The sequence below is a fragment of the Homo sapiens genome, chromosome 11, assembly GCF_000001405.40.
Source record: "Homo sapiens chromosome 11, GRCh38.p14 Primary Assembly".
In the NCBI taxonomy this organism is placed as follows: domain Eukaryota; kingdom Metazoa; phylum Chordata; class Mammalia; order Primates; family Hominidae; genus Homo; species Homo sapiens.
In genome coordinates this window covers 6,236,848-6,254,455 of record NC_000011.10, presented here as the reverse complement: position 1 = coordinate 6,254,455, position 17,608 = coordinate 6,236,848, and the positions used below count along the sequence as shown (strand labels likewise).

Sequence of the window (17,608 nt, the reverse complement as noted above, 5' to 3'; positions counted from 1 at the left end):
TTTGCCCCTATGGGAGGGCAATAGGAATGTAAATAGGAAAGCAAGCCACCTTCAATCATGCAGTGAGGGTAACATATTAGGGATGGCAGAGTGACAAAATGGAAGGAGTCTGGGTCTCCTATACTCTCAAACCATTTTATCATCCCTGATTCTTCTGCATGAAAAAGAAACTGCAGTCTTAACTCGTTACAGTTTTTTTCCTCTATTGTCAGGGCAACCTAACCTGCATCTTAACTGAGACAGTTGTTTGTAGATTTGGTAGGGAGCTGCTGTCTGATAGTTTTTATTTTTGCTATGGAGTTGGAGATCTGGTTATCAGAGAGTGGTGTGTGTGTGTTTGTGTGTGTGCGTGTGATGAAAATTTTTAGTAGTCAAGATGGTTTAAGAAAACAATATATAATGGGAGAAGGGAAAAGGAGACCTGAGGAATGTAGTGAAATAATAGGAAAATACTGAGGGCCCACTTAAGGGGTGATGACTACAAATTTCTAGTGGGATCAATTTCTCAGCAGAGCTCAGCTGGTTGGATGCAAGCAAGGAGAATGTTGATGGTTTGGTTCATCCAAAGTTGGAATTTTACCAGATGAATGGAATGGCAAAATAAAGGGACAAGTGTGAAAAAACGGGCCATAAAATCTCAGCTGGACATGGAGAAGAGAGAATTATATTCCAAGGGTCTGGCTCCTGCCCTTGTTATTGTATTTGGAGATAGGGCCTTTAAAGAAGTAATTAAAGTTAAATAAAGTTATAAGGGTGGGGCTAGAACTGTTGTCATTACAAGATGGGGAAGAGGCACCAGATATCTTGTGATCCACCATTTCCCTCATCCCCTGCCACCTCTTCCCCCTGCAAGCCACACACAGGGGAAAGACCATGTGAGGATGCTTTCTGCAGGCCAAGAAGAGAGCCCTCACCAGAAACTGAATGTGTTGGTACCTTGATCTGGGTCTTCTAGGCTCTAGAACTGTGAGAAAATAAATTTCTGTTGTTTAAGTCATCCAGTCTGTGGTGTCTTGCTGTGGCAGCCTGAGCTGACTAATACATGTCCCTCTCTCCAATAGTTTCTCAGACTTCTCGTCACACTACTGTCATTACTTACTTTCTATCTTTTGTTTACTCTCACACCCAAACACTGGCTCTAGCTGGATGGTCACACTTGGCTTCAGGAGCCTCAAATATCTTATATTTTCCTTGTGGATGCCAAGTTTTCATCATCTTTGTATCTTGCCCATATTCTCCCCTCTAACTAAATGCAGATGGGTTATGGAAGGTGAGGGCTAGGAGATGGCATGTGTAGATTGATTTCAAGATGTTTTGTAAAAGGGAAAATAAAAAACAAGTAATAGCTATAGTGAAGAAGGGAGGGGGAGCAGAGGATGGAGGGGAAAGGAATGAAAATGTAGTGCTAAAAGGGTATAACTCATTTCTCGAAATCATGAAATTCCATCTATACTTCCTTTGCTAGACATAAGCCAGCATTTTGGAGAGAATGGGATATCTCAGGGCAAGAAAATAGGGATGCTTTAGATCGGAGTAAGGAAGGAATTGCAAAGCCAATGTGGGCAAAGGCATATGAAAGAGACTTGGACCCTTGTCCAGGAACAAGTCAGAAAACTAAGAGGTCAAGGAAGCACATGCAAGAGGTCCTGAAGTAGGCCTGGGCTCAGTCCTGAGGGAATCTGTCTTTCTAACTCAAGCTTTGACCTGCCAAGGTTGTTTGTTATTTGGTTTTAGTTTTGGTTTTGGTTTTTTAGAGGGGGATTTTGGACCACCTAGCTTGACTCTTGTAGCTAGAACAATTTACTTTCCCTTTTGGGAAGTCTCAATCTCCCATGGTACTGCCCCATTGGCCCAAATGTGGGCACACGATCCTTCTTTCAATACTCTATATCACAACTGAGATAAGAGGGGAACATTGAAATAAAACTTCAGTAAATATTCATGGGAAACAACCGCAGAGAGCAGAACCTACTGCCTCATGCACAGTGCCAGATAAGCTGCTTTATAAGGGACTGCTTATTCTAGGTAGCTTGCAAGGTCCACAAAATATCAGTGCTTTAACCAGGAAACCCAGTGTTTACATTCCCAGTAGTGTGAGGGTCATGTAATACGCTCTGCCTCCAGCACTCCTGGTTCTGACGCACACACGTGCAGCTGAGGTCTGGCGCTAGGAGAGAAATCAGCTACAGTTTAGTCCTTGGGGTGCCCAGCTTGCCCTTTTCCCCATTGGCTCAGCCCCGCCCTCTGTGTCTGATTAGGCCACCTTCTCCTTATATCTTTCAAGGCCTTCTGTTCTCTGCATTTCTATGACATGCAGACTTGCTTCTGTGCTGAGCTCCTGCCCACACATTCCCTGCCCAAACAGGAGGCCCTTCTCTTGGGATGATTAAACAGAGGAAGCCAGCTGAGAAGGCAGATGGGCTAGAGCCAGAGCAGGCAGGGCTATTGAGCAGACGAAAGAAACCAGGACAAGGACTGGCCTTTCAGAAGCCTGGGGCTTGTGCTGGGGAAGAGCAGAGGCACCCATTCAGGGGCTGGCTCTGGCTGGATACTTGACTTCAGATGTAGACCCTCACGGGTAGGCCAAGAGAGGCCTAGATCTCCCAGGTCAGGGCCTCATTCAAAGGTTGAGAAAGCCAACAGGAGGTCATTCCGAGAGAAGGCTTCCATGAATGCATACAAGCTAATAGCCTCTGGGGCCCTGTCTGTTGGACATACTGGTGAAGAAAAGGCTGAGGACAACAGGCCAAGGTATGGGGACTGAAAAGGTGAAGACAGACACAGAGAGGGTTCATGTGAACTAGTGGTGAGAAGCACAAAGAATTTTCAAACTTTGGTGAGGGGCTGTCTGAATGTTCCCAGTCATTCAGTGGTGCTGACTGCGACAGGGCTGCTTTAGGCTCTGATTAGCACATCCTCTTCAGTAACGTCATTCAGCATTACCACTGATATATTTCAGTCATTGTGAAAAAAGCTTAAACAAGAGCAGTTGAGATCACAATTCCCCAACGTTGTTCCCTGTCCCTAAGATTCCATTTCTCCCTGAGAAATTCTCCAAGCTTTTCAAGGCAATGTAATCCAAAGGCCTGGGAGTGAGCTGGAAGGAAGGAAGGAAGAAGTGCCTTCTGCTCTCTGCTGGTCAGACCTGGTATTGCCTGCACAACCTGGAAGCCCCGCCAGAGGCCTGGGACAAGCAGAGCAGGACAACCTGTGCCCAGGGCCCTCAAAGACACAATAGCTGCTAGAGGGACACGAGTAATAGTCATAGCTACTGTTAATTACTAAGAAATTATCACCGTCTAGGCACTAGTAGGCAGTTTACATTCATTATCTTGTTTAGATTTTTAAATCTTCAGCATTTCTCTAAACAACCCTGAAAGATTTTGAGGAAGAGGCTGAGAGCCCCCCAGCTAGGAAGTGATGTTTCAGAACTAAAATACAAGTCTAGTTGGCACCTAATGCATGCTGTTTTCTATATGTTTTTTTTTTTTTTTTTTTTTTTTTTTTTTTTTGAGACGGAGTCTCGCTCTGTCGCCCAGGCTGGAGTGCAGTGGCGGGATCTCGGCTCACTGCAAGCTCCGCCTCCCGGGTTCACGCCATTCTCCTGCCTCAGCCTCCCAAGTAGCTGGGACTACAGGCGCCCGCCACTACGCCCGGCTAATTTTTTGTATTTTTAGTAGAGACGGGGTTTCACCATTTTAGCCGGGATGGTCTCGATCTCCTGACCTCGTGATCCGCCCGCCTCGGCCTCCCAAAGTGCTGGGATTACAGGCGTGAGCCACCGCGCCCGGCCTATATGTTGTTTTTTAAGGCCAGCCTAACATTTGCCCTGACGTGGGTCATGGCTCTGATCCCAGCTCTAACCCAGCTTGACCACCACCTCTGATCCTAGCCTCAAGCCAAACTCCAGCTTAACCCAAACTAGAATCCTCCCACCCTGCCTCCTGCTTCTGGCTCCTAGTGTTTGCACTAGGAGCAAACACTCCACTGGATTGAATGGCCCCTTTCCCTAGGAATCTGATTTCCTCCCAAGCTTGATACTTTATTTCCATCTGCCTTATGGGGCTAGCAGCCAAACCCCAAGAAAGAAAGGGTGGGGTGTGGTGGGTCCAAGAAGATTCTGTGGGGGAGTAGCTAACTGGGAACACCAAGGAGGAGTCTACATCCCAAATCTTAGTCAGGCTGAGGTTTCCTAAGGACCCAAGGAAATAAGTAAGTGAGGCCCCAGGTCCTGTAGGAGGGAACAGAGCTAAGCCCAAAGTAGTGGGGCTCTCAGAAGGAAGGCCCTAGAACAGTCTTGACACCTCTGTAGAAATCTAGCCGTGGCTCTCAAACTCCTGCCCTCCTCTCACAGCTGTATTTTGTGCAGATCCTGGAGCTCTTATCCAGAGTAGCTGGTAGTCCTTTATCTTTGCTGGCAGGCAGCCTCGCCAGTGACTCACAAGCTTTCGCTGGCACAGCTGGCTTCTTCCCCCTGGTTACTGCAATTACTGCCTCTGATAGTCATTCTCAAGAAGGGAAGAGCTTGCTTGGCCCTGGCCTCAAACCAGGTGATTCCTTTCCTTATCTCCCTAAAAGATAAGACCTGGGCTTCATTCCATGTGACTTAGGGACCTGTGATATTGGGCAAGTTATCTAATCCCAGAATCTTGGTTTCCTCATCTCAAAATGGGGTAATGATGACATCTTTCTCATATAGTTTTAGGATCGAGACTGTGCACTTAACCCAGGATCTGGCATAAAGTAACTTCTCAATAAATCCGATCTAATATCTTTAGTGGCTCTGTGGGCTTCAGATTCCTGATCTGGAAAGAGGAGCATCATCACCACATCATCAGCATCATCAGCATCATAGAATTAATAATAATTTAAATTTCCTCACATTGTTTTAAGAACCAAATCAGATAATACATGTAGAGCAGTTTGTGAATTATTCCACAACAGTGTGTAAAAAATTAGACATTTGATTGTCTAAATCAGATAATTCTCATTTAAACTTTTAAATACTTTATGAAAGATCTATCTATCTATCTATCATTTCAATAGCTTTGGGGGTACAAGTGGTTTTTGGTCACATGGTTAAGTTCCTCAGTGGTAATTTCTGAGATTTTAGTGCACCCATCATCTGAGCAGTGTACACTGTACCCAATATATAGTCTTTTATCCCTCACCCGCTCCCAACCTTCCCCTTGAGTCCCCAAAGTCGATTATATCACTCTTATGCATCCTCATAGCTTAGCTTCCACTTGTGAGAAATACAATATTTAGTTTTCTATTCCTGAGTTACTTCATTTAGAATAATAGTCTTCAGCTCCATCCAAGCTGCCAAAGACATTATTTTGTTCCTTTTTATGGCTGAGTAGTATTCCATGGCATATACATACCACATTTTCTTTCTTTTCTTTCTTTCTTTCTTTTTTTTTTGAGACAGAGTCTCCCTCTGTTGCCCAGGCCAGAGTGCAGTGGCATGATCTTGGCTCACTGCAACCTTCACCTCCCGGGTTCAAGCTATTCTCTTGCCTCAGCCTCCAGAGTATCTTGGATTACAGGTGTGTGCCACAATGCCCAGCTATTTTTTTTAATTTTTAGTAGACATGGGGTTTCACCATGTTGGCCAGGCTGGTCTCAAACTCCTGGTCTCAAGTGATCTGTCCACCTCCACCTCCCAAAGTGTTGGGATTACAGGCATAAGCCACCGCGCCCAGCCTTACATACCTTATTTTCTTTATCCATTTGTTGGTTGATGGGCGCTTAGGTTGGTTCCATATCTTTGCAATTGTGAAATGTGCTGCTATAAACATGTGTGTGCATGTGTCTTTTTCATATAATGACTTCTTTTCCTTTGGGTAGATACCCAGTAGTAAGATTGCTGGATCAAATGGTAGTTCTACTTTTAATTCTTTAAGGAATCTCCATACTGTTTTCACTATGTGGGAGATTTAATCTCAGTTGTGTTTTGGGCTTTCTTCCCACTCTCTTTCCCAATTTAGGGCCTTGCGAAAGTCTCTGGGGCTTTTATGTTGAACAGAACATCTGGGGCAGGGCCTCTGGTCTTTGGAGCATGCTGATAATGCTGGTATGTGCCTTGTTCAAGCCTGCACACTTCTAGGGGATGCTGCTCTGAGTCTCCAGTACCTGTTCCAGCATAGTGATCATTCTCCAGTTCTTTCCAAAGACTCAACTCTTAGTGTTCCCTATTTTGGCCCCTCATAGAAAGTGGAGTCTAGGCTGCTTTTTTCCCTTAGAAATCCTGTGGTAGAATTTTGACTTCTATTACTTTTGCCCTCTGATGTTATTCCCAGGGTTATGGCAAAAGGGACATTGAGAAGGTAATTAAGTTAGTTAATAATTAGTTGATCTTAAAATAGGGAGATTATTCTGGATTATTTAGATGAACCTACTCTAATCAGATGAACCCTAAAAAGGAGAGATCTTTCTTAGCCTGGTAGTAGAAGGGGGAAATTAGAGATTTGAAGAATGAGGAAGATTTCATATGCCTTTGTTGACTTGAAGATGAAGGGGCCATGTGTCAAGGAATCAGAGATCTTTGTCCTACAGTCAATGGAATTGAATTCTGCTAACAACTTGAATGAACTTGGAGGCAGATTCTTCCCTATAGTCTCCAGGTAACAGCCTAGTCCATCTGACACCTTGATTTCAGCATTTGGAGGCCCCGAACAGAGGTCTAGTTGACTGACACTGGCTTGGATTTTTCTAACTCACAGAACTGTGAGAATAAATGGGTACTGTTTTAAGCTGTTAAATTTGTGGTAATATGTTACAGCAGCAAAAAAACAAAACAAAACAAAACAAAACAAAAACCCCACAAAAAACTAATATAACTGTCAAGAATCTCATTCCTTTTCCTTGTCTTAGGGAATCTCCCCTTGTCAGAAGAAACTTCCGCTTCTTAAACTCTTCTTAAGCTCTCACAGACAACAGGGCACATTTTACCCCTAACTCCATCGTTAGTGAAATCCTAGGAGCCCTATTTTTCAAAAACAAAATCTTGGCTGAGCATAGTGGCCCACACCTGTAATCCCAGCACTTTGAGAAGCAAAATCAGGCAGATCTCTTGAGTCCAGGAGTTTAAGACCAGCCTGGGCAACATGGCAAAACCCCCATCTCTACAAAAAACGCAAAAATTAGTCAGGCATGGTGGTGCACACCTGTGGTCCCAGCCACTTGGGAGGCTGTGGTGGGAGGACTGCTTGAGCCAGGGAGGTAGAGGTTGCAATGAGCCAAGATAGCACCACTGCACTACAGCCTGAGCAACAGAGTGAAACCTGTCTCAAAAACAAAACAAAACAAAACAAACTCCAAGACTCCCACAAAATCTCTGGCAAAAAGTTTCTGTCAATTTCTGTTTCTGATCCTATAATTCAAAAAGCTGTAACTTTTTTTTTTTTTTTGAGACAGAGTCTTGCTCTGTCGCCCAGGCTAGAGTGCAGTGGCGCGATCTTGGCTCACTGCAAGCTCCGCCTCCCGGGTTCACGCCATTCTCCTGAGTCAGCCTCCCCAGTAGCTGGGACTACAGGTGCCCGCGACCATGCCCAGCTAATTTTTTTTTTTTGTATTCAGGGTTTCACCATGTTAGCCAGGATGGTCTCGATCTCCTGACCTCGTGATCCGCCCGTCTTGGCCTCCCAAAGTGCTGGGATTACAGGCGTGAGCCACCGGACCTGGCCAAAAGCTTTAACTTTTAAGTGATGCAAAGATTTAGGTCCTTTCTTATGATGGGAGGAGGGATAAAATTAACAAAACCCAAATGAAAATTTTAATAAAATTTTTGGCCACATTTGTAAGTGTATAGCCTAGTGCTTGATACACATTAGTTAATATTCTTTGGACTAAAAGAATTTATTATTATTTCTTGATTATTCCAGGAACTTAAAATTGTGTTCAGTTCTGAATATCCTGACCTAATTTTACCCAGCTTGATCCCAAATTGTCCAAATATTGTCTTCAACAGAGTGATAAAAACAATTCTACAACTAGAGGACCTCAGAAAGCAACTGATGCTATTCAAGGTATCTTATGATATGGTGGCTCCACCATGAAGATTCTGATCTCCTCATCCTGGAATAGCAGAGGCAGAGCAAAATGGATAGCTGGCCCTTTGAGAGTTTTGTTTCTGCAATCATAAAATGCCAGATAACCAGTTATCACCCTGCTAGTGCTATAGACCAGGATTAGATGGCGTGGCAGAGGCCAGCTTTTCCAAGACAGCCTTCGCTGGGGATAGGTGTGCACATTGTAATATGTCAGTGAAAAACTTGTTCTCAACTCCCTAAATCCATCAGATGCCACCCAAATGGCCTTTATGATGTACCCATCCATTCTAGTTCAAGATGATATGAGGGCAGAGATGATAGAAAAACCTCTCAAGAAATTGACACACATCTTCCTTCAACATTTGTCCTCTATCTGCTTCAACTCTCTCTTCTTTGGTTACCAAATATATATTTGGGTACTTACTAGATGCCAGGCACAACCCTGGGGACACAAAGATGAACAAGAAAAACCCAGTGTTGGTCTTGTGGATCTTATATTTTGTGAGAAGGACATATTACAAAAAAACTATGTATTTTAAGATGATTTAAAGTGTGATTACCCTCATAATCTCCCCTGAGAGTAGAGACACATCACTCAGTTATATCTATAAGTTAAATCCTGGATACCTTTTAAACTACTACTTGGCACAGCTCAGACTTCAAGACTGGCCAGGCCCTGGAGGAGCGCAGTGGTGACTCAGGGTGAATCTGGTTCAGACATGATACCAGACTCCTCCCCATAGAACCTATGATATCTTTCCTGCCCCAAGTGCAGACCTCCTTCCAAGTACACCAGATTTAACTCCAAAATTCCCAACACCCTCATCTCTAATTGCCTCTGACCGTAATATTCCATTGCACCTAGTTTCTACTCTCCCCTATATTTTGGAATACTGTGCAAAGAAGAAGGGCTGGATTTCCACCAGCACCAACACCAGTTCCAACAACTGTCATGGTAGGGCTGGGCCAGGTGAACGGTCCTGTTGGAACTATTCACCCTCTTTCTGTTGGGAGAATGGAATTATTCTCCTCTTGGAATCAGCCCTGAACACAGGGAAGCCCTGGATCCAGGCTCCAGGGCTGGCCAGAGGGAAGAAAAAGAAGAAGTATCTGCTCGGGCCCTTTTAACTAGATGAAACCCCTCAGAGCTTATAAATCGAGAACATATGCTCCGGTGTGGGATGCAAAGGCCAGTGTGCATGGGCACTCTTACAGCAGTGTGATGTGAGAGCCTGCTTTGCCTAGGCTGAGTATTGATTCTCTATTCTTCAGGTACCTCGTCTCTGACTCTAACCCACTAGCTACTACACAGTTCATGCTCATCACCTCTTTGACTCAGAATTCAGGCTTCAGACTTCAGAATTCAGACAGAATCCATCCTGGCCCACCATTGACTTTGCCTTTTCTTTCCAGCCCCATAAATGCTTAGGGAGGAGGCAAATACTTTATTGAAGTGCAACTTTCAGGGTATACTTGTGAATCGCCCATATGGGAAACATTCAAAAGACATCTTAGACCTAGAGGGCTCAGGGTGTGCTTTTGTGTTTTCACAAGTGTGTGCACACCTGTGAAGGGCATCTGTGTCTATCAGTGTATGACTGTCAGCATATGTGTGTTTAGGAGGTGCATGACTGAATGTGTATATATTATGTGGGTGTAAGATACATCGGTGCTTGTGAGAAAGCATGTGTGCTGTGTGCTCTGAGAATGGAAATTCCAGAGCATTTTAGATGGAATGCACAGTCTTGGGGCCAACAGGTCTATGAGCAAATGTGTGTGTGTGTGTGTGTGTGTGTGTGTGTGTGTGTGTGTGTGTACTGGTAAGTGGGGGCTGAATGTGCGTTAAACTCCTATATCTCTAGCTGGGCATCTACAGACCAATTCGCTCCTGTGTCTGTGATCTCGCAGACAGGATGACAGAGTTGCAGCAGTTAGGCTTTACTACAACTCTGGATTCACTAGGAGGTGGGAATCCTGGGGATGGGGATGGGGTCACTCTGGACCTGGGGGTCCCTCCTGGCTGGCCCTGCCCTCTTCATCTTTGGAAGTTCCCTCCTCAGGCTCACCCTCGTCATCAGCCTCAGCCAGGTCCTCGGGCATTGGCCACTCTCGAGTCTGCCACTCCAGCCGTTCAATGCGGTAAGCAATCTTAAGTGCGCTGGACTCCAGCTCAGCCAGGAGGCGAGCAAACTTGGTCTGTAGATCATCCAGCTGCTGGTCTAGGCCTCGTAGCCGGGACTCTGTGGCCTCCTGCAGGGCGATCTCAGCTGCCTCAGCATTCACGTCCAACTTGTTCATTTTCAGCAGGATCTCACGTCCTTTCTCCTCCATGATGGTCTGTGCTTGTGGATACTCGCTCAGCACCTCCCGCAGGTCCTCCTTGCTCAGGCAGAATAGGTCTGAATAACCTAGGCTCTTGATGTTGGCTGTGCGGCGGTTCCCAGACATGTTCCCTGTGGCTCATGGGCAGAGATGGGAGGACAGTTAGTAGGAGGGTGAGGAGGTGGCATTTCACTCCTGAACCAGGACCTTCACCTCCATATTTGTGCTTCTGAGCCTCTCCTTCTGCCTCATTAATTCTTTCATTTAGTAACATACTGGGGACCAGGCTCCATGCTGGGTAGGTATCAGTGACCTGCCTCAAATAATTCACAGTCTAGAGGAGATACACATATATTGGAATAGTTATATAACAGTATGGCTGGTGCAGTGAAGACATGTTCATCAGGTGCTGTGGAAAGGTAGGCAAAGAGCCCCTACCAAACCGTAAGGCAGGGAATTTAGGGAAGTCTGGAGGAAGGGATGTCCTAAGATATAATTTGAATATTTGTCTCTGCCCAAATCTCATGTGAAATGTAATCCCCAATGTTGGGGGTGGGACCTGGTGGGAGGTGATTGGATTATGGGGGCGAATCCTTCATGGCTTGATGCTGTCTTTGAGTTAGTGAGTCGAGAGCTGGTTGTTTTGGTTGTTTGAAAGTGTGGCACCTCCCCCAACCCTTGCTCCTGCTTTCACCGTGTGACATGCCTGCTCCCCCTTTGCCTTCTGCCACAATTATAAGCTTCTTGAAGCCTCCCTAGAAGCTGAGCAAATGCCAGCACCATGCTTCCCGTAAATCCTGAAGAACTGTGAGCCAATTAAACCTCTTTTCTTTATAAATTATCCAGTCTCACATATTTCTTTATAGAAATGCAAGAACAGTCTCATACACCTGAACTGAGTAGGAGGTAACTAGGGGGAGGAGGGGGACAAGTGGGGATAGGGCAATCTAGCCAGAGGAAGGAGCAGGAACAGAGGGAAGGGGGTAGAAAAGAGTCAGTTGGATGCAGAAAATAGTAAGCAGTTCAGAGTGCGAGAAGCGCAGAGTGTGGGGAGGGTGGAGAGAGGGGAGATCTAGGTCACACTGGGTCTCATAAGCCATGACATGAAGTTCAGGCCTTATGCTGAGGGCAGTAGGAAACTATTGAAGTATTTTAAGCAGGGAGCTGTATGATATCCTTTGCAGTTTAGAAAGATGTTGGTGGAGAATGGGTGGGGAGATAGGTGAGGCTGAATGCTGCAAAGTCTTAGAGCTAGAAGGACCTTGGACAAGGGAAAGGGAGCTACTATTTGTTGAACACTTGCTGTATGCCAAGCACTGCGCTGGATGCCTCACTCACATAGCTCATTTATTCTCACAAATAACTCATTGGGTTTTTATTATTGTCCTCATTGGATAGGTGATTAAACTGAGGCCTAAATAGGGAAATGACTTGTCCAAAGTCAAACAGACAGCATCCTACCACATACAGGATGTGGAGCTTGAGGGGATCATTGGAGGACAGATGTGAGGCTTTCAGAATCCCTGAGGGTAGAATCCTCATGCTGAGAGAGCCAGAGCACATCCAGCTTCTCGGTCCATGACAGTGTGCTTACCCCATTTGCAGGATTTCCTGCTTGCACGACCTCATGCCTAATACCTGTGATTAGGCATAACAATTCCTACTGCACAGGGCTGATGAGAGGAAAAAGCAAGCCAGTAGGTAGTACCTGGCTTGGCCTAGAGGTGATGGTCAGTAAATGGGAACTTCTTCTCTTCTACCTTTCTCTTTCCACTTGGCTGTAAAAAGGTTGTTTTTTCCACTCATCCCACATGTGTATACCTGTGCGACGTTGGGCAAATTACCCAACTTCTTTGAGTTTGATTTCCTTATCTTTAAAATTGGGATAAGAATAGTACTTATCTTATAGAACTGCTGCGGGAATGTAATGAGTTAATATCATGTGAAGCACTTAGAAAAGGGGATGCAGTAAGCAGGTAATAAATATTAGCTATTATTATTATTATTATCTCTATCACTGTCCACTAGTCTATTGGTGCTTCAGGTGAATATCCACAGAGCAAGTCTACTCTCTCTTCCACGAACCCACCCTGTTCACTGGCCTTGGCTCAGCTTCTTCTCAGGGAATGGATCCTCTATGTGTTGTTTTTCTCCTGAGCCATCTAGTGACTCAGAGAAGGGCCAGGTTTCCTCAATCAGAAGTTTAGGCCTGAAGTACTATCTGGTCCCAGCACTGGGCTCTGCTGTTCCCCCCTACCCCACCCATCCTTGTCCCTGGAACAAATACTGGGATACCCACCTTTGATGTTGATGATGCTGATCTCCCCAAAGTAGAGCCCTGCACCGAGCACAGCATACTGTGTGATACCATCATCTGCCACCACGGCCAGTTGACCCTCTCGGATGATGTACATCTCTTGGCCAATGTCTCCTTTGCGGCATACATATTCACCTGGTGAGTAGGTCTGGGGCTGCAGCTTCAGCACCAGCTCCTCCAGCAGGCTGGCCTCACAGTTCTGAAAGATCTGCACCCGGCTCAGAGTGGACAGGTGCACAGACACAGCCACTTCTGCCCGCAGCCGCTCAGGCAAGTGCTGTAAGATGGCTACCTCGTTGGTCATCTTCTTGTTGATCTGCAGGTGCTGATACCTGAGAGTAAGGACAGTGCCATTTCCTTACCAGCCCTTTATGTGCCTGCCTCCATCCCTTCCTTCAGGGCTCAGCTCAGCTCCAGCCAAGAATCCCACCATACTGAGATCTAACAGGGGTCATGGGAGTACCTGACAGTTGGATTACCTGTTTTCCAGGGCATAGACACCTCTACCACTTTACATAACCCTTCACCTCCTATCAGGCTCTACCCTACCCACCAATCAGTGATGTCTTGTTCCACCCCTACCCTTAGCTACCTCAGCCACCAAGGGCCCCTCCTCTCTGGGGACCCTCTGCTCTACTTCCCCAACTTTGTGACACTTCCTTTTGTTCAGTCCACAGTATGAATCACCATAGGTAGCCAATGATCTTGTTGCTGACCATTCTCAGGGGGGATTGCCCTTCTTCACCCACTCCTTCCAGAGCCTTCTGAGCCCTACCAGGCAGTGGCACTTCCCATTCCCTGGTCTCCATATTATCCTTTTTTGAGTATGAGCTCCTCTCCCTATCAGTCTCTTACCTACCCCTCCCCCAAGTCCTGATTCCCTCAGTTGAAAGAAGTTCCCTTTTTCCAAGCCCCAGCCAGCAAACCCACGGCTGAATGCTACATTTTGACAGCCTTGCCTGGCTCACCAGGCACTAAGGACCCAGTTACCTCCCTCAGGTTCCATCACCTACACTGGTCCCTGTCCTGGTCTGGAACCCCGCCTTCTCACCAGTCAATAACTCGCCGCTCCAGCTTGCGGTTGACGTGCTGCAGCTTCATGTACTTCTTCACCAGTGCATGATCTGGGTAGAAAGCCGCATCTGCAGTGTTCATGTTGTAGATGACAGAGCTCATGCTACCCATGATGGTGGCGAAACCCATGACGGCCAGCAGGAAGTCGCCCACCATGAAGAGGTACTCTTCTTCCCTGGCTGGCGGCGGTGTATCGCCCACTGTAGTCAGTATCAGCGTGGAGAAGTAAAAGCTATAGAGGTACTGGCGCCGCAGGCGCTCAAAGCCAGGCTGCGCGGGGTCCGGGTACACCCATGCGTCACGCCCGAAGCCCAGGTACCGGGATAGGGCAAAGTATAGGCAGCTGTTCCAATGGATGACGACAAAAATGTAAAGCATCAGCTTGGCAATGCGAAAGGCATTTGGGTAAGCTGTGCGGGTCTCTGTGCGGTCGAAGGCCTCGAAGAGGCGGGGCGCGCGGAGAAAGCGGTTCAGCCTCAGGGTGGGTGTGTGCGGGCCCAGCCGCACGTAGACCACATCTGTGGGCATCAGGGAAGCCAGGTCCAAGAAGAAACTCCAGGTGCGAACGTAGCGACTCGAGATCCTACCCTTGTCCACCACCAGGATGCCCTGTTCCAAGAATCCTGGGGAGAGGGAGCCGGTAGGAAGCGGACCTGCTGTAGTCAAGCTTGGGCTGAGCATGAGCTGCCCAGGGCAGGCCAGGGAGACTGTCTGAAGGACAGAGTGGAGCCAGGCATAACTCTGCTCCCGGCTTTCCGGGGTGAGCACTGGGATGCTGTCAGGCATAGAGGCACGCGAAGGTGCTACCACGGTGGGGGTGCCTTTCTTGTTACTTCTTAAGTGGCTATCTTTAGGAAGGGAATGTGGGACAAAGGGTCATTCCTAGAAGCCCACTGACCTGTGTGGAAGCGCACCACCATGTCTAGTAGGTATAGCAGGTCACTCGTGTAGTCCAGCACCAACCAGGCCACCAGATAACCGTGCTGCAAGTCGGGGAAGCAGGCTCTGCAGGGCAGGGTTAAGCATGATTGAATTAAGGGCACCCTCTGTGTGCGAGGCGTCTCCCCAGGGCCCTTAACCCTCTGCCTCAGGCCCTCCCATGGGAATTGCTCCTCCTGCCCCACCAAGGGTCTGCCCTTCTCCTTGACCTCTCTTTAGTCCTCTTTTTGGCTTCCAGCCCCTCCCTTAGCACCGCTGCCATACCTGCACACGAGGATGATGAGGTTATACATGACTGGGAAGACCATTGTGTTCAGCCACCAGTAGTAGTAATCCCCAGATGGGTCCAGGACAGGCAGCAACTTCCTGTAAGAAAGAAAGTCTTGCTTCATTTATTCACCAGGCATTCAAAGCTGTAGTTGTGACTGGGGCACCAAGAGGAATGAGGAGAGATCCCACACAAGGGACCAGGACTTCTCACCTGGCCTTGGATGGGGCTGGGGGACTGGACTCTGTTGTCTTCACTTTGGTGTCCTGGCTCATGGTTCTGTGGTCTGGTGCTGGGGTGTGAGATGTCCACACCCTCTCTGCCTGTAGGGGACTTCTGGAGTTGGGCACTAGTGCCTGACTGCCTGAAGGAGGCTGCTGTTGGGCTTCTGCTGTGACTTCTTTGTCTTTGGGGCTCTTAGCAACACAACCAGAGCTAGCGCTACTGAAGGGGTGGAGACAGTCTAGCTCTAGCACTCTGCCCTGTCTCCCAGGGCCTGGGCTTACACCTGCCCAGCTAAACACCTCTAATGAGATCCCTGGAGAAGGTGGGGGTGCATGCCTCAGAGGGAAGCCTGAGTCTTGTCTCTGTTTTCCTCCTCCCCTCTTTCCACAGCAACTGAGCTACATAGGTGTCCTCTGGGTCAGAAGACCTCAGTTTTAGTGTAGGATCAAACACTCTGTTTTATCTTTGCAAATTCTATTTGGGCCTCACTATTTATTTATTTAACAACTATTACTGAATGGCTTATCTATGTCAGGTGCTAAACTATTCTCCAGGGACAAAGAGATGCCTCTCACATGAGAAGTGAGCTCTATTTTTGTAACCTACTTCCTACCCTTATCTACCTCCACATACGCCTTCCCCCATCACACCATTCTCATAGGTAGTGTGATAGGGGCCATCCTATGGTGCTTTTGTCCTCATATCCTTCTTGTGACTTCTAGTGCCTGATCCTACCAACCATTCCATGTGTTTTATGGTCCCCAATCTTTCAACTTTTCTCTTTTTGTGAACCTGCTTCAATATCTCCTATATCAAAACAAACAAAAACCCTACAATTTCTCCCTCAACCTGATGTTCCTTTCACTGCTATCATCTTTCTCAGTCAACAAATCAAAATCAGAACACCCATAGGCAGGTGTTCTGTGTGCCAGGCCAATATTGTGCTAAATACTAGGAATTGGAGATGAATAAGACACGCTCCCCCTTCTCCAGAAGCTCACAGTCTGCTAGGTGAAATAGTCAGGCCAGCAGGTAATTACACATGAGGTAACTAAACAGCAGCAGTCATTGCCAGGCTGCTGATGAGTACTCTGTTAGCTGGATACACGGAAGGCTATTATAGTACACATGAAGTGGCCCTACAGAGCCTGGGTTCTGCAGGATGAATAGGAGTTGGGTACAGAGATGGGAGGGTGAAGAGCACTAGAGGCAGAATGCACAGAGTGGGCAAAGGCATAGAGATATCAAAAAGCGTGGGTGACTGGGCAAATATCAATTGGCTTATTTTAGAGGGCCTAGCGGGTAGTGGTGAGAGATGAGGTTGAATGATAGACAGAGGCCAGCTCAGGAGGAGTTCTGTCAGCCATGTTATAAAGCTTGGATTTTACCCAACGGCAATAGAGAACCTGTGAAGAGTTTTTCACAGTTCAGTGATAAAATCAGGTTTGTGTTTTTGGAGTGTGTTTTAGAAGAAAAACCTGTGGTCCCTAATTAAATTTTGAAAAACTCTCTTTTCCCATGGCTTCTTAATTTCTTTTTGCAAAGTATTACGCTTGTTAAAATAAAAAGACAACATTCAAAGTAATGCAACAAAATGAATAAAATCCTTTGTAATGCCATAATGTCTTGGTTTGCTGTTTCTTTTTAGTGTCTTTCATAAGCTCCTCTGTCTATTCCTTCTATGATGGTGTTTTTTTTTTTTCTTGGATTCTGTTCTAGGCTTTCTACTTTTGCCATCCTCCTAACTCTGTCTGATTGACGTCAGTCACCCACAGGACTTCCTTTCTCATATAGTGGCTCCCGAGAACTCTCCCTGAGTTTCAGTTATCTATATGACTAACTGCTCACTGGATGTTCCTACTTGGGTATCCCGCGGTCACCTTCAACCCATTGGGTCTATAACTAAGCTCATTATCTTCCTCCACTTTTTCTTCTAGAATTCCTATCTATGCCCTTTCAGCAAAAAAACCTATGACAAGCATTTATTACTATTTACTGTATAATGTTGTGGCAGTTAAAAAAAATGGTCACAAATTCTTCGACACCACTCCCTTGTGATAGTTTGTATAGCAGGAGTGATGTTGTGTGACTTCTAAGGCTAGATCATAAAAGGCCATGCAGCTTCCCTCTGGTTCTCTTGGAATGCGTGTTGTCTGGTAGCTCCCTCTCAGAATGTTCCCTCTTGGAACCTACCCATCACATTGTGAGAAGTTCTGTTTGACAGTTTGCCCAATGAGTTCAGCTTTTTCATTATCCCAGCCCAGGAATTAGATGTGTGACTGAAGAAGCCTCCAGATGCTTCCAGCCACCAGCCTCAAACCACCTCTAGATGTTCAAGCTTTACAAATAAGGCCCCAGACATCATGGAATAGAGACAAGCCATTCCTGTTGCATCTCGTCCAAATTCCC

The 17,608-nt window shown here is 46.5% G+C and overlaps 1 protein-coding gene across 5 annotated transcripts in view, besides 1 other annotated feature; it reads right to left on the bottom strand.

The window, feature by feature from the left end:
* Positions 6,091 to 6,291: a silencer, noted in NCBI's record as "peak1186 fragment used in MPRA reporter construct". NCBI's record gives its function as "represses an SCP1 promoter by STARR-seq MPRAs in K562 erythroleukemia cells {active_cell/tissue: K562}" and the evidence as "EXISTENCE:reporter gene assay evidence [ECO:0000049][PMID:32103011]".
* CNGA4 (cyclic nucleotide gated channel subunit alpha 4) overlaps positions 9,480 to 17,608 on the bottom strand; it is a 10,184-nt gene continuing 2,055 nt past the window's right edge. For 2 of the 5 annotated variants that reach the window (XM_017017219.2, XM_017017218.3), the window contains exons 2-6: positions 14,971 to 15,072; positions 14,666 to 14,772; positions 13,745 to 14,390; positions 12,676 to 13,025; positions 9,480 to 10,513 (exon numbers count right to left, since the gene is read on the bottom strand). In XM_017017219.2, the coding sequence (XP_016872708.1) occupies positions 10,047 to 10,513; positions 12,676 to 13,025; positions 13,745 to 14,390; positions 14,666 to 14,772; positions 14,971 to 15,014 (1,614 nt within the window). In that variant the 5' untranslated portion in view covers positions 15,015 to 15,072 and the 3' untranslated portion in view covers positions 9,480 to 10,046. Of the gene's footprint in view, positions 10,514 to 12,675; positions 13,026 to 13,744; positions 14,391 to 14,665; positions 14,773 to 14,970; positions 15,073 to 15,187; positions 15,368 to 17,608 lie in introns of those variants that run through there. The other 3 variants (XM_017017217.2, NM_001037329.4, XM_024448353.2) reach the window with 3 other exon arrangements.